Source organism: Homo sapiens, chromosome 2 (assembly GCF_000001405.40).
Source record: "Homo sapiens chromosome 2, GRCh38.p14 Primary Assembly".
NCBI lineage: Eukaryota > Metazoa > Chordata > Mammalia > Primates > Hominidae > Homo > Homo sapiens.
In genome coordinates this window covers 131,356,733-131,368,683 of record NC_000002.12, presented here as the reverse complement: position 1 = coordinate 131,368,683, position 11,951 = coordinate 131,356,733, and the positions used below count along the sequence as shown (strand labels likewise).

General features: G+C 42.8%; 1 protein-coding gene across 1 annotated transcript; it reads left to right on the top strand.

The window, feature by feature from the left end:
* The first annotated feature begins 4,515 nt into the window (after positions 1-4,515).
* Positions 4,516-8,192, top strand: RAB6D (RAB6D, member RAS oncogene family). The gene has a single exon (NM_001077637.3). It carries the CDS (start codon positions 4,964-4,966, stop codon positions 5,726-5,728), a length of 765 nt encoding a protein of 254 aa, NP_001071105.1. The 5' UTR covers positions 4,516-4,963; the 3' UTR covers positions 5,729-8,192.
* Positions 8,193-11,951: the final 3,759 nt, after the last annotated feature.

Below are 11,951 nucleotides of genomic sequence, written 5' to 3'. Positions count from 1 at the left end.
GGCCACTGGGGCCGGGCAGTCACCTAGCTGCTCTTACACTGCATACCTGTGTCTGAGTACTCATTTCATCCATCAGCCAGGGTCTGTGGGACAGATCCGGCAAGGTGGCAGGCACTGTCTGTACAGAGGGAGAGGGTGGCATGTGCCTGTGGTAGTCTGTGTTGAGCGGGCTTAAGGGGCTGCGACCTTGATCCTTGTTCTCTCTTTGGATCAGGGTCTTGATTTTCCTGGAGACCCTGACCCCCCTGGAGAAGGTGACTTGGGTGTCTTAGGGAGGGGGAAGGGGAAAAGAGGGTGGGGCTTCTATGAGGAGCCTCCATGTGGCTAATGGGCTTGGGTACTGGGAAGCTGGAGATATGGCAGGACAGGCAGGGGGATGGGAAGATTGGTGATTTTAGGGGTGATGCCAGCCAGGTTGGGGCCTCCTCTGGCCTTGCTTCACCCCTGCAGGGCCAGGACAGTGCTAAGGGTGACTGTGGCAAGGATGGCAAACCAGGACAATCTATGAATGACCAGTGACCCCACCACCCCCACTGAGCCCCAGCCTTCAGCCCCTTAGCCCTCTTCTATACCCACTCCTGAGAGGTCCCTTGGCTGGAGGCCAAACACACACCCATCCCAGTTCTTCTCTTCCTAGGCATTCCCTGGTCCTGCTGGGGAGAATAGAACCCCTGGGCCACTAGTCAAGTGGGTGAGTGAGGTGGGCTCTGGGTCCTTGGGAGGCAGTCCCTAGGCCATGTGGTAGAGATTGGGCAATGGCTGGTGGGGCGGGCAGGGAGATGCCTGGTATCTGTGCTGTCCCTGATGTGTGCATGGCAACGGGAGGCATGAGCACATGGGTTTGAGTCTGTGACGTCCTGGGTATGTTGTTCCTGAGGTTTGGTGAACATGTTCTCAACAGCAGTGGTCATGTTTACTGACCAATCAATGGACACTGGTGGAGGGACTGGCCAGCTTTTCTGCTGGGCCACAGGTTAACCTGGGCCTCCAGGTGGGGTGTGGGTGACTCGCTCTTCCTGAGATGCACATACACCTGTGCGTTTTCGCAACAGGACCTCTGCATCTGTGTGTGTGTGCCATGTGTGTGCAGTGTGTGCAATGTGTCTATAGTATGTGCATGTGTGCAGTGTGTGTGCGTGTGTGTAGCACAGGAAGGGGAAGAGTGGCGCCTGGCTGCCCAGGCCTCATGTTCTCTCCCTCCGTCCCATTTGCAGGGTCTCACTGGCATGCCTGGTCCCCAGGGCCGATGAGGAGTAAAGCCCAGGTGAAAGAGAGGCTGCCCCTGGGTGCTGGAGCCTCCCCTCTGCCTTTCTGCCCCTCAGGTGCCTCTGTCTCCAGATGTCTACCCACCACCCCCATCCACGTATCCCATGTTGACCCCTTCTGGGGACAGGGGTTTCCTATAGTTATTACTGCCCTGGGGCTCCCAGGCTTCGGGCCCTCCTCCCTGCCTCACGCCTTCCACTTTGAACTCCTGCTCCAATTCACATCCCCTCCACTGCCTTTCCGGACACATTCCTTGTGTGCATTTCTGGGCCTCCAGGTGCTGTGGGTGCCTTGAGTCCCACAGGCCCAGCTGGTGCTGATGGTCTGAGGGGCTCTGGGGCCCAGTGTGAGTCACTGCAGGCAAGGGCTGGGCTTGAGGAGGAAGGTGAAAAGCCCGGGGAGGAGTGCAATGTGGGGTGCTCCTCCCCGTCCCTGGGGTCCCCTCAAATCTGCAGGGTCAGCAAGGCCAACCTGGAGCCACAGGCCAGGCTGGGCCTTCCAGTCCTGTGGTGAGTGACTGGGATGGGGCTGGTGAGGGGTGAGGGTGGGCGCCCTGGGGCAGCCAGCTAAGGCCCTGCAGGAAGTGGGAGGCGATGGGAGAACCGAGTTTCCTCCTCTCTCTGGAGAGAGGGACTTCTGTCTCCCCAAAGGGACCCCCAGGGCTTCCTGGCTTCGGGAGCAATGCTGGAGCTGAGGAAGAGAAGGTGAGTGACAGACACATGGCCAGGTGTGTCTCCCATCACCCTCAGCCCTGAAGCCTGTGGGACTCTGAGGGGCCTGCTCTGCTCCAGGCCCCCAGCCACCAGGCCCCGGGGTCCCTGCTCAGTGAGGGCCCCCCACAGACCCTGTGCCCAGGGCATTCTCTGTGTCTTGGCCTTTCTCCCCCATCCACGTGACTCCTCCTGTGTTCCCCGACCACCTGCTCCCTTCTCTAGGGGCCACTCAGGTCTCACTGGACTGATTGGGTCCCCTGGGGGAGCAGGGAGAGAATGGGGATCAGGGTCTTCCTGGCCCTCAGGGCTCCCCTGAACAGAAAGGGAGAGGTGAGTACAGGGCCTGGTCCTGGAGGGTGGGGTGAGGGGTGGGGAGTGGGAGGATGGGGTTAAAACTCAGCTGTGGGTGAGGGAGCTACTTTTTAAAATTGTATATAGAGATGGGGTCTCACTACGTTGCCCAGGATGGTCTCTAACTCCAGGGCTCGAGCAATTCTCCCACCTTGGCTTCCCAAAGTGCTGGGATTACAGCATGAGCCACTGCGCTGGGATGACTTCTATTTTCTAAAAGCAACTCTACTGGGAGATTTATGCTGAGGAAAGTATGTGGTTATCAGACTCAGTGCCCATGGTGGATGACTTCTTTATTTATTTTTTTCTTTGTAGAGAAGGGATCTCACTTTGTCACCCAGGCTGGAGTGCAGTGGCATGACCACAGCTCACTGTAGCCTCGACTTCCCGGGCTCAAGTGATCCCCCCAACTCAGCTCCCCCAAGTAGCTGAGAATACAGGCATGGGCTACCACAACTGTCTAATTTTTTATTTATTTATTTATTTTTTTTTTGGAGACAGGGTTTTGCTCTGTCACGCAGGCTGGAGTGTAGAGACATGATCTTGGCTCACTGCAACTTCTGTCTCCCAGATTCAAGCATCTCTCGCCTCAGCCTTGGGAGTAGCTGGGGACTACAGGTATGTGTGGGTGAGTCTGGGTGTGGGTGGGTGAGTGCAGGTGTGTCTAGGTGTAGGTGGGTGAGTATCGGTGTGTGTCTGTGTGTAGGTGGGTGAGTATGGGTGTGTGCGGGTGTGTGTGTAGGTGGGTGAGTATGGGTGTGCAGGTGTGTGTGTGTGTATGTGTTTACATTGTGGTATGTGTCTGTTGGGTGCCGCCGTTAGGGATTTGGAAGAGTGAGGACCATAAACCTGTAAACATTTCTACATGCCTGCTCCACAACAAGTGTACCAAGCATGGTCAAAAGTAACTAAACCAAGTAAACAAATTAGACATTAATTAAACTTAATGCTGGGCAGGAAAGAAGTATTCAAGGCCAGGTAAAATGAAGAAATATAACCAAATAAATGAAATTTTAAAATTAGTAGAATGAGACAGAAATATTTTTAAAAGTTTTTAATTTCTGGTGAATATCAGTATATAAAACTAAGAATTATATGGCTGTCAATTGACTAAAAACAGTACTTAAGATTTCAGCTAGTGAAATAGCCATATATGATCTTGTAATTCCATTTTTCTGTCTCAAGAATGACTTGTTTAAATAATTTTTTTTGAATTGTTACATTGTCATCTTGAAAGAGCTTCACAAAACTTACATGAGAATCTGGATTGTCATAAGAGGTCTGAGTTTTTAATGGTATGTTCGTATTTCTGTTATGTACATTGATGTCAAACATTCATTTCCTGAGCTGTTCTCCAGAACACAATTTGACTTATAATGAACACTCAATAAATGGTTGGTTGGATAATCAAATCAACACCTTAGTTTCATCAATTTTCATTTCATATAAAAGTGACTGATCTTCTATACTCATCAATGAAACAGAGAGAGATGAGGGAGGGATAGCAGTGGAGACTAAGAGGATGACAAGCAGACCTCATTCTGCAGTGGATATCCTACACTCTCCACTTCTCAATGCTTGGAAACACTTGCCATACTAAAAAAATTGGTATTTCCTAGGCAGAAAATGGGAGTTAAAGAAAGTCCATATTTCTATACTACAATAACTTACACTATAATACATGGACGACATACATTTCTAAGCTATTCACTTCATAGAAAATGCAGATACATTTAGGTGAGCAAGATGCAGGAGAAGGGTTAATAATCAGGCTGAGTGTGATTGTGAGATTCAGTCTAATATCTTGATACAATTCTTGTGTAATTGTATCAGTTGACATATCTGTTCAAATGCAAGGCGGGAGAGTTTTGCAGGAGCTCCTGAAACTTCCTGCATGATGTTAGGAGACAGGTTGGTCCATGTGATTAGGCCAGATGTGTTTGCTTAATTGTGGCTTAGGAAAGTTAAGTTTCTGACCTCTCACAGAAACTGGGAGATAGGGACGCTAAATTTTATAACATTTCTGTTTAATATATATTTAATAATACATAATAAAGTCTTTAAAATGTCAATTTTGTCTTTTTTCTAGTTTGCAATATTTTGTTTTCACCGCCCCATTGTTTTTAGTACATATGTTTTGTGTATTTAAAAAAATGTGTGGAGGCGCCCTGGCTCGCCCCGCGCCAGAGGCTCGCGCACTCAGCAGGTTGGGCTGCGGCGGCGGCGGCTGGGGAAGCCGAAGCGCCGCGCGTGAGAGATCCCAGATACGTCTGCGGTTCCGGCTCCGCCACCCTCCGCCTTTCTCCCGCAGGTCTTGGAGCCGGGTGAGGAAGAAGGGAACGGCCCTAGCCTTGGGAAGCCAAAGCACACCCCTGGCTCCTGCCGACACCGCCCTCCTTCCCTTCCCAGCCGCGGGCCTCGCTCGGTGCTCGGCTACTCTGCCGGGAGGCGGCGGCGGCTGCCAGTCTGTGGAGAGTCCTGCTGCCCTCCAGCCGGGCTCCTCCACCGGCCCTTGCAGGGGCGCAGAGAGCTCGGCGCCCGCCCTTCCGCTCGCCTTTTTCGTCAGCCGGCTGGAGCAGCATCGGTCCGGGAGGTCTCTGGGCTGAGGCGGCGACAGCTCCTCTAGTTCCACCATGTCCGCGGGCGGAGACTTCGGGAATCCGCTGAGGAAATTCAAGCTGGTGTTCCTGGGGGAGCAAAGCGTTGCAAAGACATCTTTGATCACCAGATTCAGGTATGACAGTTTTGACAACACCTATCAGGCAATAATTGGCATTGACTTTTTATCAAAAACTATGTACTTGGAGGATGGAACAATCGGGCTTCGGCTGTGGGATACGGCGGGTCAGGAACGTCTCCGTAGCCTCATTCCCAGGTACATCCGTGATTCTGCTGCAGCTGTAGTAGTTTACGATATCACAAATGTTAACTCATTCCAGCAAACTACAAAGTGGATTGATGATGTCAGAACAGAAGGAGGAAGTGATGTTATCATCACGCTAGTAGGAAATAAAACAGATCTTGCTGACAAGAGGCAAGTGTCAATTGAGGAGGGAGAGAGGAAAGCCAAAGGGCTGAATGTTACGTTTATTGAAACTAGGGCAAAAGCTGGATACAATGTAAAGCAGCTCTTTCGACGTGTAGCAGCAGCTTTGCCGGGAATGGAAAGCACACAGGACGGAAGCAGAGAAGACATGAGTGACATAAAACTGGAAAAGCCTCAGGAGCAAACAGTCAGCGAAGGGGGTTGTTCCTGCTACTCTCCCATGTCATCTTCAACCCTTCCTCAGAAGCCCCCTTACTCTTTCATTGACTGCAGTGTGAATATTGGCTTGAACCTTTTCCCTTCATTAATAACGTTTTGCAATTCATCATTGCTGCCTGTCTCGTGGAGATGATCTATTAGCTTGACAAGCACAAAAAAAGTCAGCGTCTTCATTATTTATATTTTACAAAAAGCCAAACTATTTCAGCGTATTCCAGTGATAACTTTAAAAATTAGATACATTTTCTTAACATTTTTTTTCTTTTTTAATGTTATGATAATGTACTTCAAAATGATGGAAATCTCAACAGTATGAGTATGGCTTGGTTAACGAGCAGTATGTTCACAGCCTGCTTTATCTCTCCTTGCTCTTCTCACCTCTCCCTTACCCCGTTCCCTATTTCCGTGTTCTTACCTAGCCTCCCCCCACTTCCTCAAAACAAACAAGAGATGGCAAAGCAGCAGTCCGACCAAGCCCACTGGAATTATCCTTTAATTTTACAGATACCACTTGCTGTAGGCTGTGGACCAAGATGTCCAGAATTATTCTTGAGCACTGATATAAATTACTTAGATCCTCTTTGAGGTCAGAATTCAGCGATCACGGTAGGCAGTGCTTGAATGAGAAAAGCCTCCTGGTGCATCTTCAAAATGAGTCCTAAAGAACATACTGAGTACTTATAAGTAGCAGAACATAAAATGTATTTCTGACTAAAACAAATGGTCCTTTCACATGTGCTTTATTAGACTCTGGGAGAGAAAATTAACCAAGTGCTTCAGAACAGGTTTTTAGTATTTAATTCTTCATGGTAAGATAATGACGTTCTAATGAACTATTTCTCCCAAGGTTTTAAAATTGTCAAGAGTTATTCTGTTTGTTTAAAAAATAAGAAACCTCTTTAAGCAATAGATTTTGCTTGGGTTTTCTTTTTTTAAAAAATAATACTATGCAGGCAAGACACCATAAAAGTTTAATTCCTTACAGAAGAACCAGTGGAAGAATTTAAATTTGGCACTACGATCAAAACTACTGAATTAGCAGAAATAACGATATCTAAAGCTTACCAACAAAAGAACCCTCAGCAGAAGAGCAAAAACTTTGCTCAGGACATTTGAGGTCAAATTGAAGATGGAAACCGGAAACCATTTTCTTGTAAGCCCCTAGAGGCAGATCAGGTAAAGCATACATAGTAGAGGGAAAGGAGAGAATGGAAATAAAACTGAATATTATGCAGATTTATGCCTTATTTTTTAGCATTTTTTTAAGGTTGGGTCTTTCAGGCTGGTTTTCGTTTGTATGAGATCTGTATAGTTTAATTAACTAATGATTTAGTTTTATATTTAAGCTACGATTAATCTTTTTTCTTTGGTGATATTTCTTTGCTTTTTTTTTAACAACTTTCAATTTTTAGATGTTTCGTTGAATCTATTTAGAGCTTCACCATGGCAATATGTATTTCCCTTGAAACACTGCAAACAAATATACTAGGAGTGTGCCCTTTTAATCTTCACTAGTTATTGTGAGATTGCTGTGTAAGCTAATAAACACATTTGTAAATACATTGTTTGCAGGAAGAAAACTTCGAGTTATAGGTCAGGAAAAGCCTGCTGAATTTATGTTGTAAACGTTACTTAACACAGTATAAAGATGAAAAGACAACAAAAATATCTTCATACTTCCTCATCCCCTCATTGCAACAAAACCTTAAACTGGGAGAACCTTAGTCCCCTCTCTTTCCTCTTCCTCCTCCACTTCCCACTTATTGTCACCTTGTAATATTCAGAGAGCACTTGGATTATGGATCTGAATAGAGAAATGCTTACAGATAATCATTAGCCCACATACCAGTAACTTACACTTAAAGATGGGATGGAGTTATAAAGTGCTTTTATAATACAATATAATTGCTAAAGGCAAGGGTTGACTCTGTTTTATTTTGACATGGCATGTCCTGAAATAAATATTGATTCACTGTGGCAGATGGGTCATACTCTTTATTTGGAAGAAGTTGTGACTTCTGACATGGGGGTGATTGCCTTCCTACACTGTTGCATTTGATTCTTTTTATGTATTTTTTAAAAAGTAAGCAGTTATACTGCTTTTAATATTGATTGGTCTTTTTATTTGGCTTGGAGTTCTTCAAAGCAGTGAAGTGTGTTCATAGTCCAGATTTTTTTTTAGTAAACACAATTTTGCTGCCAAAAATATATAAATAAAACACAAAACAAAAATTAAAAAATGTTGAAAATATTAGACCATCTCCCTTTTTACCACCTTCCCTTTTTACCTTTTACTGCCATTTACATCCACACATCCACACACACAATGCTATGCTATGTTTAATAGCATTTCCCTGATTACCAATATTAGGCATTATATATTGTCTATTCATGTTTTCATATTTTGTATAATGTCTATATCCTTTGTTCATTAAATTGTGTTATTTGTATTATTCTTTATAATTCTTTAACACATTGCTGTTTATATGTTGGTTATATTTTACATTTTCTTCTAGTTTATGGGAAGTCTTTTTCTTTTCCTAAGACAATCTATTGATAAATATAAGCTATGAATATTAAAGTTATAATTAAAGTTATCAAATGTTTGAGATAAATTTATTCATTAGCTCTTTATGAGTTTTTGGTTTTTTTCAGGTTAAATGAAATAACTTCTTTTTTTGTTTTTTGATGTGAAGAATTTGGTGGAGAAATTAAAATTTCAGATGCAGAAAAAGAAGCAAGAAAATTGCTGGAATGACAGGCATGAGTAGGTAACAGGTGTTATGGTTAATACTGAGTGTCACCTTGATTGGACTGAAGGATGCAAAGTATTGTTCCTGGGTGTGTCTGTGAGGGTGTCACCAAAGGAGATTAACAGTTGAGTCAGTGAACTGGGAGATGCAGACCCACCCTCAGTCTGGGTGGTCACCCTCTAATCAGCTGCCAGCGCATCTAGGATAAAAGCAGGCAAGGAATATGGAAGGGCTCGACTGGCTCCATCTTTCTCCCGTGCTGGTTGCTTCCTGCCCTCAAACGTCAAACTCCAAGTTCTTTCAGCTTTTGGACTCTTGGACCTACACCAGGGGTTTGCCAGGGGCTCTCAGGCCTTCAGCCACAGACTGAAGGCTGCACGGGTGGCTTCCCTACTTTTGGGATTTGGGGACTCAGACTGGCTTTCTTCCTCCTCAGCTTGCAGACAGCCTATCGTGCAACTTCACCTTGTGATTGTGCGAGTCAACACTCTTTAATAACCCATTTTATATATACATTTATCCTATTAGTCCTGTCCCTCTAGAGAATCCTAATACAACAAGACACAGCACCCAGTCACAGTAAGAGGGGTGGACATTATTTAGAAGCAAAGACAGTTCACCCATATGAAAAGGAGAGATAACAGAATGTAGGTATAGATATATGAAGATGAGCAGATGTAGAGACTGGAGATTTTGAAATTCTTGTCAAATGACCACTTTTTTTTACAAGTGAAATAGAAAATAAAGTTATCAGCAAAGAGTGAAGATGGGAAGGAGAGAAAATAAATATGAACTGTTACTCTGGGAAAGGATGAGAATGAATGGAGCAGGGAATATTTTTTTCTGGGAAGCATAAAGACATGAGCTTTGTGATCATGAATTTCAGTTGAAACAAATCAACCTGATTCCCTCTTATTCTATTTTAAATTTCAGTTTTATTTATTTAAAAATCTGAACATAATATCCATAATTATAGTATTATACAGAAGAGTTTCACTGCCCTAAAATTCCTCTGTACTCCATCTGCTCATCCCTCTGTCCCCCATAACTCCTGGCAACCACTGATTTTTTTTTAACTGTCTCCATAGTTTTGCCTTTCCCAGAATGTCATGTAGCTGGAGTCATACAGTATGTAGCATTTCCTGATTGGCTTCACTCAGAAACATGTATTTGAGATTCCTTTATGTCTTTTTATGGCTTGATAGGTCATTTCTTTTTAATGCTGAATAATATTTAATTATTTGGATGTATTACAGTTTATCCATTTACCTAATGAAGGACATCTTGTTGGCTTCCAAGTTTGGCAATTATGAATTAAGCTGCTATAAACATTATTGTGCAGGTTTTTGTGTGGACAAGTTTTCAGTTTCTTTAGGTAAATACTAAGAAGCATTAATGCTAGATTATATGATAAGAGTTTGCTTAGTTTTGTAAAAAGCTGACCAACTGTCTTCGTAAGTGGTGTAACATTTGCATTCCTACCAGCATCATCAGCATTTGATGCTGTCTGCCTTTCATATTCATCAGGCTTAACCTTCATAATTTTGCTGCACTTACTTTTAAAATGAAAGTCTTCAATTCATCCCATGCTTTGTTTCTTAAACAATCTTGAATGAGTTCTTTAAAGTCTAAAAATCTCCAGAAAATAAAAGTGTTAACTATATATTGAGAGCTGAAGTTTGCAGAGCAAAGGAGTGACACTAAATTGGTGACGATGTAAAACCTCAGCTGAAAAATTCTAATAGCTACAGAAGAGGTATGATATTTTCATATATAGTTCCTTCTCATTTACATGTGTAAACTTAAGAGAGTCAGGAGTATTGTATTGTTAGGAAAATCAGAGCACTTCAAAAAATTGTTGTTTATAATGTTTAGAAATTTAGACCTAACACTTTCATGATATAGACTAGAGTAGACTTAGCTAAACAGAACCATTTATCAGTCTGTTGTACATATTGTTTTTGACACATTTATTATAAACTACAAAAGAATAAAATAATGTAAAACTACTTTGAGAGGGTATCTAATAAAAATAAGATAATTATGGGATTTCTATTATCCACACTCAATTAAGACTAATATTTTTAATTTAAAAAAGTTTTTTAAAGAAGAATTCCTAAATGGTAATTGATAGTACATTACCTTGGTTTTTCTGATAAAAATCCTCGAAGAATAAAAATAATTTCTTCCTGTCTCTATATTACAATTAGCATAATTGAAATAATATGCTTCAATTGTTAGTAAAGTAACATTTATGTTTTGGGATCAGTGAAGCTAAGCCAACACTAAGAATTTTATTACTATTCCTCCACTACATTTCAGAGAGTTATTTCTTCACCCTTAAACATACCCCAATAATGAGTCTGCTAGGTCCATTTAGATTATCAACCCAACCCTAAAAGAAAGAAGATTTCCATTGGTTACACATTTCAGAAGATTGTTGTATCTTTGGAACATCTGCAGTCTCATCTTAATGAATTTCAAACAAGAGCACTGAGACTCCAGCTAATAGAACTATCTAATTCAGTCTTATTAAGATCCCAAAGATCAATGGCAAAGCATTGGCTATTTTCTGCACTTTGTGCAAGAATTAAAATTTGGCCAGGATTGTTGTTCATAGCAGGAGTCATGAATGGTTTTGTGGTGTTTTATGACATCTTAAAGGCTACATTGAACCTTGTTCTTATATCATGATCTGCTAAGCAATTCACCAACCATACTTCTCCACTTCAGTCCTGATTTTAGCCTCCTTAGGAGAACACTGGAGACATGATTGGTAGTAATGGCCCATTTCTTGACATTTTTGACCAGCTATAGAGTCCATGCCAGATACACATATATATATATGTGTGTGTGTGTGTGTATATATATGTAGTGTGTGTGTGTGTGTGTCTGTGTGTGTGTTGACTTGCTTAAAGATGTTACAGGGAAGATTATGTTTAAGAACAGTTAGAGGGAAATGTCTTTTTGAGTTTGTTTCCTAAACCCTAAGCCATTCAGCTGACCTTATTATTTCTCTTTACCTTATAGTGTAAAAGTCAAAATGTCTGTGTATAATGGGAAAGGAGAGAGGCGGGAGGAGAAGATGAAGGGATTAATATCCATGAGCCTTGTAGTAAGGACCTGCCTTTTGCTAGAGACTGAGCACTCCTCATACATTGTCTCATTAAACCAGCTCTCCAAAATAGTATCCCTCCTGTTTTATGGAAGGGACAACTCAAAAATTTTGCATTGCCAGTAAGTGGTGGAGTTGGAATTTATCTGCCCCCAAAGCTTCACAGACTTGCTTTAAAGAAGATGGTTTAATTCTATCTCACACCAGTTAGAATGGCGATCATTAAAAAGTCAGGAAACAACAGGTGCTGGAGAGGATGTGGAGAAATAGGAACGTTTTACACTGTTGGTAGGTGTGTAAACTAGTTCAATCACTGTAGAAGACAGTGTGGCGATTCCTCAAGGATCTAGAACTAGAAATACCATTTGATCCAGTGATCCCATTAGTGGGTATATACCCAAAGGATTATAAATCATGCTACTATAAAGACACATGCACACGTATGTTTATTGCGGCACTATTCACAATAGCAACGACCTGGAACCAAC